Source organism: Homo sapiens, chromosome 4 (assembly GCF_000001405.40).
Source record: "Homo sapiens chromosome 4, GRCh38.p14 Primary Assembly".
Taxonomy (NCBI): Eukaryota; Metazoa; Chordata; class Mammalia; order Primates; family Hominidae; genus Homo; species Homo sapiens.
Window position 1 is genome coordinate 88,157,038 of NC_000004.12, and position 20,481 is coordinate 88,177,518.

General features: G+C 41.8%; 2 protein-coding genes and 1 pseudogene across 16 annotated transcripts in view, besides 3 other annotated features; 1 reads left to right on the plus strand and 2 right to left on the minus strand.

Moving 5' to 3' along the window:
* The window catches only part of ABCG2 (ATP binding cassette subfamily G member 2 (JR blood group)), a 141,363-nt gene that overhangs the window by 66,774 nt on the left and 54,108 nt on the right, over positions 1 to 20,481 (minus strand). For 6 of the 15 annotated variants that reach the window (NM_001441213.1, NM_001441212.1, NM_001441210.1 and 3 more), the window contains exon 1: positions 1,349 to 1,602. The exons of 3 other annotated variants lie outside the window; for them this stretch is intronic. The gene's annotated coding sequence lies outside the window, so the exon portion shown is untranslated. Of the gene's footprint in view, positions 1 to 1,348; positions 1,873 to 2,167; positions 2,254 to 20,481 lie in introns of those variants that run through there. 6 more of the 15 variants (NM_001348987.1, NM_001348988.1, NM_001441211.1 and 3 more) reach the window with 4 other exon arrangements.
* LOC124900867 (uncharacterized) lies at positions 1,349 to 2,519 on the minus strand. Its single transcript, XM_047416558.1, has 2 exons — positions 2,433 to 2,519; positions 1,349 to 2,045 (listed from the first exon to the last, which is right to left on the minus strand). Exons 1-2 carry the CDS (start codon positions 2,517 to 2,519, stop codon positions 1,536 to 1,538), a joined length of 597 nt encoding a protein of 198 aa, XP_047272514.1. The 3' UTR covers positions 1,349 to 1,535.
* Positions 1,669 to 1,888: a silencer, noted in NCBI's record as "silent region_15561". NCBI's record gives its function as "represses an Ori minimal core promoter by ATAC-STARR-seq in GM12878 lymphoblastoid cells {active_cell/tissue: GM12878}" and the evidence as "EXISTENCE:reporter gene assay evidence [ECO:0000049][PMID:35858748]".
* Positions 5,660 to 5,954: a silencer, noted in NCBI's record as "tiled region #2987; K562 Repressive non-DNase unmatched - State 22:ReprW". NCBI's record gives its function as "represses a minimal TATA promoter and a strong SV40 promoter by Sharpr-MPRA in K562 cells {active_cell/tissue: K562}" and the evidence as "EXISTENCE:reporter gene assay evidence [ECO:0000049][PMID:27701403]".
* RPL31P24 (ribosomal protein L31 pseudogene 24) lies at positions 6,502 to 6,898 on the plus strand (annotated as a pseudogene).
* Positions 19,720 to 20,407: an enhancer, noted in NCBI's record as "H3K4me1 hESC enhancer chr4:89097909-89098596 (GRCh37/hg19 assembly coordinates)". NCBI's record gives its function as "activates a minimal SCP1, AML or CMV promoter by ChIP-STARR-seq in naive H9 embryonic stem cells {active_cell/tissue: H9 hESC(naive)}" and the evidence as "EXISTENCE:reporter gene assay evidence [ECO:0000049][PMID:30033119]".

Sequence of the window (20,481 nt, forward strand, 5' to 3'; positions counted from 1 at the left end):
GTTGCAATGAGCTGAGATCGTGCCACTGCACTCCAGTCTGGGCAATAAAGCAAGACTCAGTCTCAAAAAAAAGTATTGACATCATGTACCCAATATGACATACTGAGATGGAAACTTTACTTCTGTGACATTTTTCCCCAAAATGCAGAACATTCATCTAATCATGACACTAAACATCAAGCAAACACAAATTGAGGGGCATTCTACAAATTAACTGACCGGGTCTTCTTCACTAGTGTCAAGGTCCATGAAAAAACAATGAAAGGCTGAGGAACTGTCACAGATCAGAGAAAATTAAGGATATTTAGCAGTTAAATGCAAAGTGAGATCATCGATTGGATCCTGGGCAGAAAAAGGACAGTGGAAAGACAAGTGAAATCCAAATAAAGTCTGTAGTTTAGTTCATTGTATTATAGTAGCATGCCCATGTTATTAGTTTTGGCCCTTGTTATGCATGATATTATGGGAACTCTCTGTACTATTTTTTGCAAATTTTCAGTAACTCTCAAATTATTTCACAATTAAAAGTTATTATAAAATAAATAATAAAATAACCAACATCTTTCAATGTTTATAATGGAAGGGTAATGTTAGACTTAACATGCCATCTTTGTCGTTGAAACCTTTCTCATCAAGATCTCATCAAGATCTATACAATCCAGTCAAAGCTGTACTCTGAAAGCACTGTTTTGTAAAGAATATCAATAAAAAACATCTCTTCCTTACTACTCTGGTGTATTTATTTATGACTAGCTGACATTCAAATGATAAGAGAGCTGTAAGATCCTCCTAAAAACCAAGCTTTAGGGGATATCTCTAGGACTGAGAAGGGAGTAAGAGCACTCAACTATCCACAGAAAATTACAAAAGGGAGTTCAATAATTCTTTAGCAAACCATCCAAAGCTTTAAAGGGATTGACCAATAATTTGTCATTTACCTATTCCCAATTGTCATTGACCAATTCCTATATTGGTCAACCCCTTTAAAATATTAACATCAACAAATGTTTCCTCCACCTATAGTAACTTCTGTGCTCAGTGGGTTTTTATCCTTCCAATATCAACTTTAATTTCATACATTTGGAGAAAGGCCAAGAGTTTTTACCAACCCACACTTAACACACTATGGGACCCAGAATCAGTTTGCACCAGGGCATCATTTTCTGAAAAACCACTTTGAACTGTCAGTTTTAAACTGCATACCCACTTTCAAATGAAACTGCGAAAGGCTAAAAAACTCAGTCGTCTCGTTTGAACGGTTACCGATTTTCTAACAAATATATACACAACGCCCACCAACCTTTCCAGACACACACTCTCAGCGAAACTGGTTTTACAATTTACTCACTCAGCTTAATAGAGCTCGGTCTTAACCAAAGGCTCAGGATCTCAGGATGCGTGCGCTCGGAGGCAGCGCTTTAACAATTAAGGATGTAAATGTTGGGATGAGTCACCCGGACCTTCCAAACAAACTCTAAAGCAGCAGTTTCCACTTAACAAGACCACCAAGCATGTGCACGGTGCGTTCCTAAATCCTACCCAGTTCCTCCACAGGCTGCCTCCTTGCCGCGTCTCTCAATCTCAGTGGGAGTGGCGGGCACTGCCTCTTCCCTCCTGCGCGCCCGGAACCTTTTGAGTGGGCACAGCACGCAGCCCGCGCGCGGCACAACCCCTTCCCCCAACCACACCCGGCGCGCCCGAGCGCTCCCCTCGCGCGGCGGCCGGCGTGGGAGGCGCTGCGGCTGGAGGTCACGATGGGAGCCGGCGGGTGGCCGCCTGGGGAGACCCGGACATCCAGGGGACGAGCTCAGGCAGCGCTGACACGAACTTCCTAAGCCGCGCTTCGGGCTGTGGACCGCCAGAGCTGAACGCAGTGGCCCCTCCCCAGCGCCCCGGGTTTCCCCAGGTCGGGGTTCGCGGGCGGGGGTGAGGCGTGGCCCCGACTGCCGGGCCGCGATAAGCGCCCTGCGACCCGGCTGAAAGCGCACACGTGTCCTGCCGCGCTGAGCCGCCAGCAGGACTGGTACCACCGCCCTCCCTCGGGGCTAGGGTCACCCTGCCGTGACACGCAGGGACAAGCCAAACACTCCCGCCTCCGGGATCGAACGGAATGAACCAGAGTGATTAACTACGAGAATCACCAGGCGCTCATTGGGCTGATCAGTACCTCGTCTGACCTAGCTGGGTTTGGTCGCCGTCACTGGCCGGAGCGCCGAAGCACCGGGGACGCTGACGCACAGGTTGCCCAGTCACAAGCGCTGCTCGCACCCAGAGCAAGTTAAATGGGTGGTTTCTGGTGAATGGGATTCTGAGAAAGTGGATGCTTGCGCCCCAGGGCCTAAAAAAATCAGGCACTGAATCTAACCCAAGGAAGGAAAGGGGAGAAACTTACTGAATGAAAATATTACCATAGTTTAAATGTTATTCTTTACACTCCTGTGACTGACATACTTCTGTGCAATATTCCGATGGTGTGGAAAGGCTAGAAAGTGATTGCGCATGTTCAGGAAACGGGCCATCAGGCTTTGTGAGTGTAGCCATCCCAACATCTACCTGCTGCATCTACCCTAGGAAATTAGTACCTGCATGCAGATATTTTCTGGTTTGCATTTACAAACAAAAATCATAGTATCATTTAAGTTGTTTAAATCAACACTAGGAATAACTATTAATGGTTCACCCAATGCAGGAAAGTTTTAGCTAGGAAGCCTAGATAAGAAAATTGACTATACATAATTTTTTAAAAAGAATTTTAAATATACCATACCGCATGCTTTTTAAAAGAATTTTAAGGTATATATTCATGATGCGCCCAAACATTTGGGTAAAATTATTCTTTTGAATTAATTTCTGTCAGTTTCAAGACCCTTAAAGGCCCATATAGAAATACATGTTAGTCATACTTCATTTTAAGACAAAATTAAGGCCAGCACGGTGGCTCATGCCTGTAATCCCAGCACTTTGGGAGGCTGACGCAGGCAGATCACTTGAGGCCAGGAGTTCGAGACCAGCCTGGCCAACATGGTGAAACCCTGCCTCTACTAAAAATACAAAAGTTAGCTGGGTGTGGTGGCGAGGCTGTAATCCCAGCTACTCGCGAGGCTAAGGAACAAGAAGCGCTTGAACACAGGAGGCAGAGGTTGCAAATGACCCGAGATCCCACCACTGCACTCCAGCCTGGGCCACAGAGTGAGACTCTGTCTCAAGAAAAAAAAAAAAATTAAGATAAAGTTTTCAGACCTGGCCGTTAACGACTGTTTGCAAAAACTGAAAAATCTCCGAAAAATAAATTTTATTTTAATTTTCTTTTTAGCTCACCCAGATAAGTGAAAAGAATAAAATTTTATGATACCAGAAAAAATGAAAACATTTCCAGCAAGATCTGAAGGCACTACAGGAGGAGACTGAACAAAAATGGAGAAAACACACACGAAACTGATATGAAGCACATTTTTAAAAATGGATACTTAGTTGAATATAGCATTCTGTAATTATGCAAAGTAAAAACAAATCAAAACCCTATACATAGAGGCCAGGCACGGTGGCTCACGCCTGTAATCCTAGTACTTTGGGAGGCCGAGGCAGGTGGATCACCTGATATCAGGACTTCAAGAGCAGCCTGGCCAACATGGTGAAACCCTTCTCTACTAAAAATACAAAAATTAGCCGGGCATGGTGGCTCATGCCTGTAATCCCAGCTACCCAGGAGGCTGAGGCAGGAGAATTGCTGGAGCCAGGGAGGCAGAGGCTGCAGTGAGCCAAGATCATGTCACTGCACTCTAGCCTGGGTGACAACGTGAGACTCCATCTCAAAAAAAAAAAAAAAAAAAAAAAACCTATACATAGAAAATTGCTGGGCAAGGAGTGACAGCTCACTCCTGTAATCCCAACACTTTGGGAGGCAGAGGCCAAAGAATTGCTTGAGCCCAGGAGTTCAAGACCAGCCTGGGCAACATACTGAGACCCTATCTCTACAAAAAAAAAATATTTTAAATTACACTGGGTGTGGTGGCTTACACCTGTAATCCCAGCACTTTGGGAGGAGGCCAGAGGATTGCTTGAGCCCAAGAATTCGAGACAAGCCTAGGCAACACAGGGAGCCCCTGTCTCTACAAACAATTTTTTTTTTTAATTTTTTTTTTTTTTATTATACTCTAAGTTTTAGGGTACATGTGCACATTGTGCAGGTTAGTTACATATGTATACATGTGCCATGCTGGTGCGCTGCACCCACTAACGTGTCATCTAGCATTAGGTATATCTCCCAATGCTATCCCTCCCCCCTCCCCCGACCCCACCACAGTCCCCAGAGTGTGATATTCCCCTTCCTGTGTCCAAGTGATCTCATTGTTCAATTCCCACCTATGAGTGAGAATATGCGGTGTTTGGTTTTTTGTTCTTGCGATAGTTTACTGAGAATGATGGTTTCCAATTTCATCCATGTCCCTACAAAGGACATGAACTCATCATTTTTTATGGCTGCATAGTATTCCATGGTGTATATGTGCCACATTTTCTTAATCCAGTCTATCATTGTTGGACATTTGGGTTGGTTCCAAGTCTTTGCTATTGTGAATAGTGCCGCAATAAACATACGTGTGCATGTGTCTTTATAGCAGCATGATTTATAGTCCTTTGGGTATATACCCAGTAATGGGATGGCTGGGTCAAATGGTATTTCTAGTTCTAGATCCCTGAGGAATCGCCACACCGACTTCCACAATGGTTGAACTAGTTTACAGTCCCACCAACAGTGTAAAAGTGTTCCTATTTCTCCACATCCTCTCCAGCACCTGTTGTTTCCTGACTTTTTAATGATTGCCATTCTAACTGGTGTGAGATGATATCTCATAGTGGTTTTGATTTGCATTTCTCTGATGGCCAGTGATGATGAGCATTTCTTCATGTGTTTTTTGGCTGCATAAATGTCTTCTTTTGAGAAGTGTCTGTTCATGTCCTTCGCCCACTTTTTGATGGGGTTGTTTGTTTTTTTCTTGTAAATTTGTACAAACAATTTTTTAAAAATTAGCTGGATGTGATGGCACATGCCTGTGGACCTAGCTATTTGGGGGGCTGAGGTGGAAGGATTGCTTGAGCCCCGGGGTTCAAGGCTGCAGCGAGCCATGATCAGAGTGAGACCCCACTCTAAAGAAAAAGAGAAAGAAAGAAAATAGCAGGAAAGTGTTCATTTGTTCTGGGTAGTAACATGGAATGTCTTTTATCTTGTATTTTAGTGTAATTTTCTAAATTTTATGTAACAAATTTAGAAAATTATAAATTTTATAATGAAAAATGGATTTTAAAAGTAAAATAAACTGATAAAATATACATATAAAGACACATGACAATAGAGTCCTCACTTGAAATAGGACTAAAACTAAAAAAAAGTTTCCTTAATTTTAGTCTAATTTTAAAAATATTTTAGATTGTGATGTTTCATATTTATAGGTCGGTTTATTTGCTAACTAAAGTTACATTGGGAGGCAGTGGTAAATCAAATAAAAATTCAAAATAAAGTTTTATTAGTTCCTAACCTCATCCTAATATTTTATCAAATTCTATTTGATAAGTTCAGATTAAAGCCAGCATTTTATAAATGTATTGCACTGTATAGAAATGAGTCATTTTAACTTGTAAGTTAGCATTGTTTTTGGAGCTAGCCATAGAATTTTAGAGAAAAAGGACCTTCCTCATTAGGTCAGATGTTAGATGACTTTCCTCATTTTACAGATAAGTCACCAGTGCAAAGGAGACTGATTTGCACAAGGTTAAAGGTTAAGTGACTCACAGCCTTCCAAGCCATTGCCCTCTGCCCTCCACCACAGGACCTTTCTTTTATTTTACCAGGCAAGAGTCACTGCCCAGTATTTATAAGGCCCCATATTGAGACTCCTGCTGAATGCCTGTGCACCAGTTGCAAAGAGCTGGTAAGGCCCCAGTATGCTACATTTCTTAGTGCTTACTCCAAAGGTGAACTCCAGAATTGTCAATTTTCCCTGGCAAGGTCAGGTTTCAGACAGGATTCACCATGGGCCTGGGGACATTTGGGTTACATATATAACAGATGTATTCAGTCCGAGTATATCTATTTTCATTACCACTCCAAGTTAAGAAAATAACAGTGGAAGAGAGGCTATGTGCACAGTATTCCCCCACAGCCCAGCTCACAGCTATCAGGGCCTTTGACTAATATGGCAAGAGAAAGTTCAGTCTATAATGGTGCAAACAGTTATTGTAAATAAAATAATGGAAACAGTTTAAAACTCTTCCTAAAGATTTCAGTATAAAAGGAAGGTGAGAGAAAGGAATATAGCTAGAGGCTATCTTAGGGTTCAGAGAAAATATTCATTTGGTTTGAATTAGACAGACTAGAACATGTGTGCATGCCAAGAGGACAAGCCATAAAGAAAGAAAGGGTTATTGGTAGTGTCAGGTCCCTTAGGAAGCATAATGAAATGGGATCCAGAGGAATTAGAATTAGAAAAGAAAAGGAAACTTAAGAATCCCTCACGCTCTTCTTTTCCAAATTGGGCCAGGCAGAATGGCTCCTGCAAAGAAAAGCGGCGAGAAGAAGAAGGGCTATTCTGCCATAAACGAGGTAGTGACCCAAGAATAAGCCATCAGCATTCACAAGCGCATTCATAGAGTGGGCTTCAAGAAGTGTGTCCCTGGGGCACTCAGAGAGATCCGGAAATTTGCCATGAAGGAGATGGGAACTCCAGATGTGTGTGTTAATACCAGGTTCAACAAAGCTGTCTGGGCCAAAGGAATAAGGAATGTTCCATACCGCATCTGTGTGCAGTTGTTCAGAAAATGTAATGAGGGTAAAGAATCACCAAACAAGCTCTATATTTTGTTACATTCCTGGTTACCTATATACTTGTTACCATTTTCAAAAATCTGCAGATAGTCAATGTGGATGAGAACTAACCACTGAGCATCAAATACATCAAATAAGTTATAAAATTGCCTTTATATATTTTTTTTAAAAAGGAAATTGATATGGTTTTGCTGTGTCCCTACCCAAATCTCACCTTTTTTTTTTTTGAGACGGAGTCTTGCTCTGTCACCCAGGCTAGAGTGCAATGGTGTGATCTCAGCTCACTGCAACCTCTGCCTTGCGGGTTCAAGCGATTCTACTGCCTCAGCCTCCTGAGTAGCTGGGATTACAAGCACTTGCCACCATGCCTGGTAATTTTTGTATTTTTAGTAGAGACAGGGTTTTGCCATGTTGGCCAGGCTGGTCTCGAACTCTTGACCTCAGGTGATCCACCACCTCGGCCTCCCAAAGTACTAGGATTACAGGCGTGAGCTACGGCTCCCAGCCCATCTTGAATTGTACTTCCCATAATCCCCACGTGTTGCGGGAGGGACCTGGTGGGAGGTAATCGAATCACAGGGGTAATTATTCCTATGCTGCTGTTCTGATAGTGAGTTCTCACGCGCTCTGATGGTTTCATAAGGGGCTTTTCCCCTTTTGCTCGGCACTTCTCCTTCCTGCCGCCATGTGAAGAAGGATGTGTTTGCTTCCCCTTCTGCCATGATTGTAAGTTTCCTGAGGCCTCCCTAGCCAGGCTGAACTGTGAGTCAATTAACCTCTTTCCTTTATAAATTACCCAGTCTCGGGTATGTCTTTATTAGCAGCATGAGAACAGACTAATACAGAAACTTTTTAAAAAATTGTAACAAAAGGGAAGGAAGTTGGATGTATCCTCATGGAGGTAAATGGATTTTTTGTTGTTGTTGTTGTTTGTTTTTGAGACAGAGTCTCACTCTGTTGCCCAGGCTGGAGTGCAGTGGCACAATCTCAGCTCGCCACAACCTCCACCTCCTGGGTTCAAGCAATTCTCCTGCCTCAGCCTCCCAAGTAGCTGGGATTACAGGCATGCATCACCATGCCTGGCTAACTTTTGTATTTTTAGTAGAGATGGGGTCTCACCATGTTGCCTCAGCTGGTCTTGAACTCCTGGCCTCGAAGGGATCTGCCTGCCTTGGACTCCCAAAGTGCTGGGATTATAGGTGTGAGCCACCACATCTGGCCGAGGTAAATGTTTTAATTAGAGAAAATTGAAATAAATATCTGGCCCATAACTATACTTTCTCTCTGAAGTTGATGGATGTGCTGAGGGTATGGGTGTGAATGGCTGATTTGGGATTTGGAAAAATGATGAATATTTGAATAGACTTCTATTCGTTTTCTATTGCTGCCATAACAAATAGCCACAAACTTAGTGGTTTAAGACAACACAAGTATATTACATTTCTATGGGTCAGAAGTCTAAAATGGGTCTAGTGGTCTAAAATCAAAATGTCAGCAGGTCTGTGTTCCTTTCTGGAACCTTTTCAATCTTGTAGAGGCCACCTGCATTCCTTGGCTCTTGGCCTCTTTCTCCATCTTCAAAGCCAGCAGCATAGCAGCCCTGTGACCCTGCTTCTGTCATCACATCTTTGATTTTCTTCTGCCTCCCTCTTCCACCTTTAAGTATTGTTATTACAATAGGCCCACTGGGTAAGCCAGGATAATCTCCCTATTTTAAAGTTATTTGGGCCAGGTACATTCATCTGGGCAGGCTCACGCCTGTAATCTCAGCACTTTGGGAGGCCGAGGCGGGTGGATTACGAGGTCAGGAGTTCAAGACCAGCCTGGCCAACATAGTGAAACACTGTCTCTACTAAAAATACAAAAATTAAGCGGGCATGGTGGCATGCGCCTGTAGTCCCAGCTACTCGGGAGGCTGAGGCAGGAGAATCGCTTGAACCCGGGAGGCGGAGGTTGTGGTGAGCCAAGATTGTGCCACTGCACTCCAGCCTGGGCAACAGAGTGAGACTCCATCTCAAAAAAAAAAAAGAGAGAGAGAAAATCATTAGATTAACAATCTTCATTTCATCTGGAACCTTAATTCTCCTTTGCTAAAGTAACCTATCATTCACATTCTAGGGAATAAGACATGGACACCTTTGAGAGGCCATTTTTCTGCTCACCACAAGGCCCCAAGGAAATGGAAGAGGATGCTAATGGAGGGACCCACTGGCACCCACTGAGTTGGTATGAAGAGTATTTTAAACTGAAACATTTAAGACACAGCAGATACAGAAAGAAGCCTTTCTGGAGCTTCCCTTATTTGACTAAAGCCAGAGCTTTCAGAGAGTGAAGCTGCCATAAATTCCCTCTTGGGGAGCTTCACTGCCAGTAAGGAGACTTTACTGCCAGGAAGGAGACCACTTGCACCTGAATGACGAATTGCATAACCGAACATAATCACAAATTGTCGTACCATCATTTGTTTCCCTAAAAGCCCATTTGTCTTTCCACAAAAGTATATTTGCTTTCCCATAGAACCCTTTCTCTCCTCCTCCCTTTTCCCATATTATTGGCATATAAATTCTCATCCCTAACTGTACAGAGAGCCTCTTCACCTGAGTAAGTGTAAATAAACCTTGTCTATTCTCCTGTTAATCCATCTATTGCCAATTAATTTACAGGCCCCCAAGCACTGGACCTAAGTTGGCAGAGGAAGTTTTTCCTCCCAACACTAATATGAGACATAGAGCTCGCACAGCAACACCAAGGCCCCTACTACTTGGGATGGGACTCTGTAAACAGTGGTTTGAAAGCTGCAAATGGGCATGGCTTTCTCATTCACAAAGATGTGAAGGTAAAGGGTTAGATAAATTCTAGGGTACAGTTTTGTTGGGTGGGTAAGGCAATAGAAAGATGAAGCAAAGGAGTCATGTGAGTGAAGTGATTCATCATCATAGGAAAGCGAAGCCAGGAATAGACAGAGAGAAAGAAAGTACATGGAGGGGTCACATGCAGATGGCAAAAGTTGAAACAGGAGGATCAGGTCACTGAGTGGGATACTGGCATTTAATATTCACATTCCAGGTTTTGATAAGGTCCCACGGTTTGAACACGAGAGTGAGGTTATGGAAATGGAAGGGAAGTGTATTTGTTTTCTATTGCTTGAGTAACAAATTACCATCAAGTTAATGTCTTAAAACAATACCCATTTATTATCTCCCAATTGTGGAGGTCAGAAGTCTAGGCTAGGTTAGGCTTTGCTCAGGGTATCAACAGGCCAAGTCAAAGTGTCAGCCAGCTGAAATGAACTCTTAGCTGGACACTCTTCTCTAAAGAACCAAGCAGAGTAAGGTTGTTGGCAGAATCCATTTCTTTTTGGTTCCAAGACTGAGTTTCCTGTGTCCTTGCTGAATGTCAACCAGGGGCACCCTCAGCTCCTCTTGGCTGCCTGCATTTCTTCCCATGTGGCCCCTCCACTTTCAAAACAGTTTGAGTCCTTCTCAAACTTTGAACCCAACTGTCCCTTCTGCCTTTTTTTTTTTTTTTTTTTTTGAGATGGAGTCTCGCCCTGTTGCCCAGGCTGGAGTACAGTGGCACAATCTCGGCTCACTGCAACCTTCGCCTCCCAGGCTCAAGCAATTATCCTGCCTCAACCTCCCGAGTAGCTGGACTACAGGCATGCGTCACCATGCCCAGCTAATTTTTGTTATTTTTAGTAGAGACGGGGGTTTCACCATATTGGCCAGGCTGGTTTCGAACTCCTGACCTCAGGTGATCCACCCACCTTGGCCTCCCAAAAGTGCTGGGATTATAGGCATGAGCCACTGCGCCCAGGCTCTTTCTGCCTTTTAAAGGGCTTATGTGATTAAATCAGGCCCACCTTTACAATCTTGATATGTTAGAGTCATCTGACTTAGGACTTTAGTTATAACTTCAAAATCCTTCAGATCAGTACCTAGATTAGTGCTTGATGAAATAACCAGGGAATGAACTGGAATTGTAGGGGTTAGGGGAGAGGGAGATCTTTAGAATTCTGCCTATCCTGGAGATGGAGTTGAGATCAGAGAGCACAGAAGCTAGGGTGATGGGATGATCATCAAAATAAACAGAGAAGTTACCAAGATAGCAATAATCTTGGAGAGACGAGAAATGTCAAAAAGCAGGCGTCAAAGTCTTTTAGACATGGAAAGTGAAGAGAAGGTGGGTTTTACACAGAGAGAGACAGCATCGGGGAGGGGGCAGGGGATTGTGGGGGTAGTAAGAGCCCAGATGCTGGAGCCAGAACACCTTGGTTCATGTAATTTGCTTTATACAGCAGACAAGAGACCAATTAAGAAGTAATTCATTTGGTTATAAAGTTTATTTAGGGCCAGGTGCAGTGGTTCACACCTGTAATCCCAGCGCTTTGGGAGGCTGAAGCGGGTGGATCATGAGGTTAGGAGATTGAGACCATCCTGGCCAACATGGTGAAACCCCATCTGTACTAAAAATACAAAAATTAGCTGAGCATGGTGGCATGCGCCTGTAGTCCCAGCTACTCAGGAGGCTGAGGCAGGAGAATCGCTTGAACCCAGGAGGCAGAGGTTGCAGTGAGCTGGGATCTCGCCACTGCACTCCACCCTGGTGACAGAGCTAGGCTTCCTCTCAAAAAAAAAAAAAGTTCATTTGGTTATAAAGTTTATTTGGTTATAAAGTTCACTTCTAAAAATTAGACTGCAGTGAAAAAAAAAAAACTACGTATTGATAATTAACCTGCAGAGTCAGATAGTACAGTAGAGTATATAACATTTGTCTCTGCAGATTAAGCTAAAAGGTTAAATGTTAAGAATTCACCAAACTACATTTCAGTACCTATAAAAGTCTTTTGTTTAACTAAATTTTGTAGGGAAGTATAACATACATAAGTCTTTTGTTTAACTAAATTTTGTAGGGAAGTACAACATACCAAAAAAGTACAGGAAATCTAAGTGGACAGCTTGATATATATTTACAAAGTGAACACACCTGTATACCTGTCACTCAGATTAAAAAAAAAAAAATTGTATTAGCAATGCCACAGAAGCCTCCCTCAAGCTCCATCCCTTCCAAAGGTAACATCTATTACCATTAAAGGTCATCACTCCCAAAGGTCATCCCATCCATTCTGACTTCTATCATTATATATTAGTTGTGTCTGTTTAAAACTGTATATAAATGAAGTAGTTATCTTTTTTTTTTTTTTTTTGAGACAAGGTCTCACTCTGTCACGCAGACTAGAGTGCAGTGGCACAGTCTCAGGTTACTGCAGCCATGGCCTCCTGGGTTCAAGCAATTCTCCTGCCTCAGCCTCCTGAGTAGCTGAGATTACAGGCATGCACCACCATGCCCGGCTAATTTTTGTATTTTTAGTAGAGATGGGGTTTCACCATGTTGGCCAGGCTGGTCTGGAACTCCTGACCTCATGATCCACCCGTCTCAGCCTCCCAAAGTGCTGGCATTACAGGCATGAGCCATCATGCCCAACCAAGCAAGTAGTTACCATTTTGAGACTGTCTTCTTTTGTTGAATATTATCGGCATGAAATTCATATATTTTGCAGGTCATAAAGGCTTATTCATTCTTATCTTTATGAGGATTCCACTTTATGAGTACAGTGTAATTTATTTATCTACTTTTGATGGGCCTTTGGGTCCTTTCCAGTTTGGCAATACACCCTAAAGTGTTAGATTAGAAAAGAGTTCTAATGGTCAGTTAAACCCATCATCCACAAGTATGGCTAAATGGAGGCCCAAAATGTGAAACTATTTTCTCCCTTTGATTATGCTCCAAACGGCACAAACAAACCAGAAAAATAGCAAGAAGATCAATATTGTAGAAGAAAGTAAGTAAACGATGATTCCGTTTCTTCCTCAAGCAGATGTCATCTAACCCCTCATTAAGCAATGTTTTTTTGAGGGCTCCCTTACATTAGGTCCCATGTTTGGCACTAAAGAAGAGAAACAAGACACAGGTCCAGGCACAGTGGCTCACACCTGTATTCCCAGCACTTTGAGAGGCCGAGGTGGGTGGATCACCTGAGGTCAGGAGTTCGAGACCAGCCTGGCCAACATGGTGAAACCCCGTCTCTACTAAAAATACAAAAATTAGCCAGGCATGGTGGCATGCGCCTGTAGTCCCAGCTACTCGGGAGGCTGAGGCAGAAGAATTGCTTGAACCCGGGAGGCGGAGGTTGCGGTGAGCCGAGATTGTGCCACTGCACTCCAGCCTGAGTAGCAGAGTGAGACTCCGTCTCAAAAAAAAAAAAAAAAAAAGCTGCATTTTTAAACCTTTTTTTCTTTCCTCCTTTCTTGCCAGTCTCAAGACACAGCTTTGAGACAAACCACAGATGTGTTTTCTGTTGTCTTGAAATATGCCTTTGAATGTGTTTTAACACTCTATTCCCTTCCCTTTCCCACCTTATGCTCTCATGCCTTATGCACATTTATTTACCTGGATGCTTGTTAAGCTCACATCATACTCACTTATCTGGTCATATATTTCTTTAGAAGCTTCAGGGGCCTAATCCTGACACAAAAACAGGCACTTCTGGGATTCTCTTCCCAGCCGGAGATGACTTCTAGGCCAGGGTTCACTCCCAGATAGATATTGACTGCAAGACTGACTGGGATTGATTTGTAACTTGGATGAGCCCACGAAGGTGCTGGCCCCTTCACCAGATGGAACAATAATTCAAGATAAGCTACTAGGGCAAGCCCACGCCACCTGGCACCTACTAGCCCCCTTGCCTCTCCGGCATTCAAAGCCCCTCTTCTGAAACCCCTGCCCTCTCTCCAGAAATTGGAAAGTGGAAATTTTTGTAAAGTATTCTGACCACTTTCCTCCTTGCTGTCAATGGATAATAAAATTCACTCTTTATCATACCTCACTCTTGTTATTTTGTCTTCATTCCACAGGCAGCGAGCGACCGGCTCCTCTTTCAGTTATAAACCTAACGTTTTAGAAAGGTTAATCTTATCAACCTAAATGCCCATAATTAGCAGATGGGATAAAGAAAATGCACTGGTATATATGTATATACCATGAGGGTGTAAGACATATACACCATGAAGTACTATGCAGCCATAAAAAGGAATGAGATCATGTCTTACAGGAACACGGATGGAGCCGGAGACTATTATCCTTAGTAAACTAACGCAGGAACAGAAAACCAAATATCACATGTTCTCACTTATAAATGGGAGCTAAAGGATGAGAACTCATGAACACAAAGAAGGAAACAACAGACACGGGTCTACTTGAGGGTGGAGGTTGAGAGGAGGGAGAGATGCAGAAAAAATAACTTGGGTACTGGGCTTAATACCTGGTTGATGAAATCACCTGCACAACAAACCCTCATGACACGAGTTTACCTATACAACAAACCTTCACATATACCCCTGAACCTAAAGTAAAAGTTAAAAAAAAAAAAAAAAGAAAGGTTATTCTGTTCATGTATAGAATGGATGGGGGGATGTGGGAAGGCAGAGATCAGTCTGGAAATTTAAAAAAAAAATGATTGAACTAAAGAGATGACTTAAACTGAGAAAAGAGGCATCAAAGAAACATTGTAAATGAAGAATTTACAGAAGCTGGTGACTGAGAACACTGAAGGTGAAAGACAAAGAAGCTAGAGATGACTTCAAGGTCTGATTCGTTCTTTTTCAAATTGGCTAATTATTTGATTGTCTCCTGTTCTTCCTCATGTTTTCAATGCCATCTTCACATTTTAAAACATTTCAAGCAGAGTTATTTACTTTAATTCTGATAATTATAATATCCAAAGTCTTTGTGTTTCTGGTTGTATTATCTATGGCTTGCTTGATCTCTTTTTTTATTATTATGAATTTTTTGTTGGCTGCCTCTCTGTAGGAATTCTTTGAGGATTGAGGAGGATACATTTATCTGGGAAAGTTTGTGTTTGCTTTAAGACACCTGGGAATATTACCCATCCTGACAGCCTTTGAATTACAGACCTGTGGGGCCCAGCATGATGGCATGTGCCTGTAATCCCAGCTACTCAGAAGGTCGAAGCAGGAGGATCACTTGAGGCCAAAGGAGTTCCAGGCCACAGTGTGCTATGATTGTGCCTGCAAGTGGATTCTGCACTCCAGCCTGGGCAACATGGCAAGACCCCATCTCTAAAATAAAATAAATAAGGCTGGGTGCGTTGGCTCATGCCTGTAATCCCAGCACTTGGGAGGCCAAGGCACATGGATCACCTGAGGTCAGGAGTTCGAGACCAGCCTGGCCAACATGGTGAAACTCCGTGTCTACTAAAAATACAAAAATGAGCTGGGCATGGTGGCAGGTGCCTGTAATCCCAGCTACTCGGGAGGCTGAGGCAGGAGAATCCTTGAACCTGGGAAGCAGAGGTTGCAGTGAGCCAAGATCACACCACTGCACTCCAGCCTGGGCAACAAGAGCAAAGCTCCGTCACAAAAAAAAAAAAAATTGCTGGGCCTAGTGGCTCATGCCTATAATCCCAGCACTTTGGGAGGCGGAGCTGGGCGGATCACCTGAGACCAGCCTGGCCAACCTGGTGAAACCCCGTCTCTACTAAAAATACAAAAATGAACCAGGCACAGTGGCACCCGCCTGTAATCCCAGCTTACTCAGGAGGCTGAAGAAGGAGAATCACTTGAACCAAGGAGGCAGAGGTTGCAGTGAGCCGAGTCACGCCACTGCACTCCAGCCTGGGAGACAGAGCAAGACTCTGTCTCAGGGAAAAAAAAAAAAATTAATTAATTAATTAAATTAATAAGTAAATAAAGTATAGACTTGTGGTTTTTCAATCATACAAAGAATGTAGATTCAGATCCCAAACCACTTAAGATCTGGTCAGTGGCTACAAATTCTTAGAGGAGGCTTTATTTCTTCTTTTTTTAAACTTCCATTCATAGCCCAGCCCAAGATGGAAATGTATTCTCTATTTTGCAGGAGGGGTTTTTTTCTGGCTTGCCCATTCTGAGCTCCAGACAGTATGCATGAAGATAAGCTTCCATTCTGTGTGGATTCAGGGCTTTGTTCCCTGTCTTCTCTGTGTAGTGAACTTTTTAGGTCATAAATAGCATTGTAGGGCTCAAGGCACACAGGGACTTTGAAGGGTAGCTTAATTGCCTGGTCTCTGCTCCTGTTCCATTAGTGATCTTAGTGGACTCATCTAAACATTGAAAAGCAGTTTTTAACACATTAAGTATTTTTCATTATTATGTAGGTCAAGTGGTTTCAGAATTTCTAACACTGCAATATTGCTAAAAATGGAAGTCCTCAATTGTATTGGTCATCATATTCACTTTTTCTTGTTATTATGGAAATTTTGAAACATCTCCAAAGTAGAAAGCATAGTATGACAAACCCCTATGTATCAATCTTCAACTAGTGGCCAATCTTTGTTTCATTGATACCTGCCTTTTTTCCCTCTTTCCCACAGATTATTTTGAAACAAATTTCAGAAAGCAAACTACTACACAATTGATTTACTTAGGAAATGGAATTATGTTCTGTGTGATTGCATCTAAATAGCTTCATTAACCACATCCTTTTGCCTTCCATTGTTTACTGTAAAATTATGAATCTAAAAACTTGAGTAGATTCAGGTCCAATCACTTGACAATAATGCATTCTAGGTGTTGTATACTTCCATTAGGAAGCTCCGAATGCCTAATTTTATTCGTAACTATTTTCAGATCTCTATAAAAGATATGGATTCTATTTTTCAAGCAAACCCCAACACTATTATCACATCTAAACAATGGACAATTTATTTTTACATTTATTTTATTTTAGTGGAAGTGCCAGGGATTGAAATTTTCTCAATAGCATGAAATATCCAGTCATTGTTCAAATATCTCTAATTTTTGGCCAGGCATGGTGGCTCATACCTGTAATCCCAACACTTTGGGAGGCTGAGATGGGAAGATCACTTGAGCCCAGGAGTTTGAGAACAGCCCGGGAAATGTAGCGAGACCCTGTCGCTACAAGAAAAAAGAAAACAAATATCACTGATTGTCTCATAATTTTTAATGTTTAAATTTTCAAATCAAAATCCAAATAATGTCCGTATTACTTTTGGCCGATGTGTCTCAGACTTGTTTAGTTAAAGGATCCCACTCACACTCTCTTATTTCCCCCTTACAGTTTGTTATGGACAGCAGTGTGTCCTTGAGAAATTCATGTTGAAGTGCTATCTTCAATACCTCAGAATGTGACTGTATTTGTAGACAGGGTTTTTGAAGAAGTGATTACATTAAATGAGGTCTTTAGGGTGGGCCTTAATCCAACCTGACTGGTGTTTTTTTTTTTTCTTTTTATTTTACTTTAAGTTCTGGGGTATCTGTGCAGAATGTGCAGGTTTGTTACATAGGTATACACATGCCATGGTGGTTTGCGGTTCCTATCAACCTGTCATCTAGGTTTTAAGCCCCGCATGCATTAGGTATTTGTCCTAATGCTTTCCCTCTCCTTGCTCCCTACTCCCCAACAGGCCCTGGTGTGTGATGTTCCCTCCCTGTGTCCATGTGTTCTCACTGTTCAACTCTCACCTATGAGTGAAAACATGCAGTGTTTGGTTTTCTGTTCCTGTGTTACTTTGCTGAGAATGACGGCTTCCAGCTTCATCCATGTCCCTCCAAAGGACATGAACTCATTCTTTTTTATGGCCACATAGTATTACAGACATGCGCCACCACGCCCAGGTAATTTTGTAATTTTAGTAGAGACAGACAGGGTTTCTCCATGTTGGTCAGGCTGGTCTGGAACTCCTGACCTCAGGTGATCCACCCGCCTCAGCCTCCCAAAGTGCTGGGATTACAGGCGTGAGCCACCATGCCCAGCTGATGATAGTTTCTTTTGCTGTGCAGAAGCTCTTTAGTTTACTTAGATCCCATTTGTCAATTTTGGCTTTTGTTGCAATTGCTTTTGGTGTTTTTGTCATGAAGTCTTTGCTCATGCCTGTGTCCTGAATGGTATTGCCTAGGTTTTCTCCTAGGGTTTTTATGGTTTTGGGTTTTACATTTAAGTCTTTAATCTATCTTGAGTTAATTTTTGTATAAGGTGTAAGGAAGGAGTCCAGTTTCAGTTTTCTGCATATGGCTAGCCAGTTTTCCCAGCACCATTTATTAAATAGGGAATCCCTCCCCATTGCTTGTTTTTGTCAGGTTTGTGGTGTTCTTATATGAAGAGGAAATTCGGAAACACAAAGAGACACAGTGAGAAAATAAATTTCTGTTGTTTAAATCAAGTATTATACTTTATTATGGCAGCCCAGCAAACTACTACACAATTGATTTACTTAAGAAACAGATTGTTATGTTCTACATGATTGCGTCTTAATAGTTTCGTTAACCACATCCTTTTGCCTTCCATTGTTTAATGCAAAATTATAAATCTAAAAACTTGAGTAGATTCAAGTCCAATCATTTGACAAGAGTACATCCTAGGTGTTGTATACTTCCGTTAGGAAGCTCCAAATACCTGATTTTCTCTCTTCTTTTGATGATTATTACTAGACCCATTAAGTATTTCATTAGGGGTTACAAATGTGTAGTAGGCTAAATTTATAATTCCTTCTTAATTTATTAGCTGGAAATTTTATTTAAAGAGAACACTTCATTAAGAATTTGTTCACCTCAAGGTCCAGTATGTTCAAAACAGGCAGAGTAACTGCTAGATTCTTTTCCTTTGTTTTCAAAATAACAAGTGTGATTCTATATCACAATCCAAAGGTGACTGGCCAATGAATTGTTAATCTTCATAGACTCATGGATTTAAACACATAATGTATTTACTACATTGCAGTTACTCTTATTGATTCCCAAAATATCTTGGCCAGTGAAAGGCCCTTCAAATTGCCTTCAAGTTAGTAGTCTCCGCGTGCATTCTTGCTTTCTAGCATAACAACATGTTCCAGGCTCATTTTTCATTTCCTGCCTCAGATCTGAAACCAACCATTTATCTAAGAAGCTCTGATGCCTTTGAGTGAGAAATAGCATTTAGGAAGCATAATTTGTATTCTTCTATTTTATTTCTGAAACAAAAATATCTGAAGCAAGCACGGCATTAGGTTATGAATGGATAATGGTTGTGGGGATACTACAGACATTTGCTATGTTATTCATCCTTTGTGTATGCCATGTTTCCAATCCTCCATATATAACAACCCTTGTGAAAAATTCCTCACAGAGTTCTCTACAGAAAAATGTTGTTTCTCCTGATGTATTGATAGTAATGATTAGAAAATTAGTCTGTAAATGCTCTGTCTACAGATCTAATTTTTGTGTTTAATTATTATGATTATTCTTGTTTTTTTTTTCTTTTTTTGTGGAGACAGGGTCTTGCCATGTTGCCCAGGCTTGTCTTGAACTCCTGGAATCAAGCAATCTACCTGCCTTGGCCTCACAAAATGCTGGGATTACAGGTGTGAGCCACTGTACCCAGCCTGATATGATTATTGATTATTCTTAACCCTGCATTTACTGATATCATTTCCTCCTCTCCTGTTCTCTTTATAATTAATCTTTTTATTTATCTCATGTCATCTTTTATCAACTCCTTTAATGAAAGCTATTAACTAACTTTCAATAGGCAGATAATAAATACAGTAATGAAACCAAAGAGAATGCTTTTTTTTTTTTTTTTTTTTTGTGACAGGGTCTCACTGTTTCACTCAGGTTGGAGTGTGATGGCCCAGTTACAGCACACTACAGCCCCAACCTCCTGGACTCAGGTGATCCTCTCACCTCAGCCTCTCACATAGCTGGGACCATAGGCACATGCCAGCACACCTGGCTAATTTTTTTTTTTTTTTTTTTTTTTTTTTGTAAATACAGGGTCTCAATATGTTCCCCAGACTGGTCTTGAGCTCCTGGACTCAAGCAGTCCTCTCGCCTTGGCCTCCTACTTCTGGGATTATAGGTATAAGCCACTGTACCCACCCTCTACAAATTTTAAAGTAAATCTAATTTTAAATGTCACATCTTCCCTAATAATGAAATATGCTTATTCTATACTTAATTTCCTGAAGTGATAGTATTTCTCTATGAGCCATATATGGTGTCAAGTTATAGCAAGTATTCTCCACCATTAAAGAAGTCAGGTTAGATAATGTCCACGAACATTAGTTGAAAAATACTACTTAACATCAAAACCCAGCTAATCAAAAGAGATAAAAAGAGCTATGGAAAAGAGAAGCAAAAAGACTGGTAACACATTAAATACATTTATATAAAAATGAATGGCCGGGCGCAGTGGCTCACGCCTGTAATCCCAGCACTTTGGGAGGCCGAGGTGGGCGGATCGCAAGGTCAGGAGATCGAGACCATTCTGGCTAATACGGTGAAACCCTGTCTCTACTAAAAATACAAAAAAAAATTAGCCAGCATGGTGGCAGGCGCCTGTGGTCCCAGCTACTCGGGAGGGTGAGGCAGGAGAATGGCGGGAACCCAGGAGGCGGAGCTTACAGTGAGCCGAGATTGGCCACGGCACTCCAGCCTGGGCGACAGAGCGAGACTCCGTCTCAAAATAAAAAAAAATTAAAAAAAAAAGAAGAATATTACCCTTGTGGAAATTATGATTATATTGTAGAACATAATTGAAATATTATAAACATAAATATTTTTATGTAATAAAAACTAAGCGGGAGAGACAGGAGGTGGAACAAGATC

What these genes read in the sequence shown, in the direction of transcription:
- LOC124900867 (XM_047416558.1), bottom strand. Translation starts at nt 2,519, where the DNA reads ATGGCCCGTTTCCTGAACATGCGCAATCACTTTCTAGCCTTTCCACAC. An exon ending in AGTATGTCAGTCACAGGAGT is followed by an intron (nt 2,046 to 2,432) that starts GTAAAGAATAAC and finishes GGGTGACCCTAG; the next exon opens with CCCCGAGGGAGGGCGGTGGT.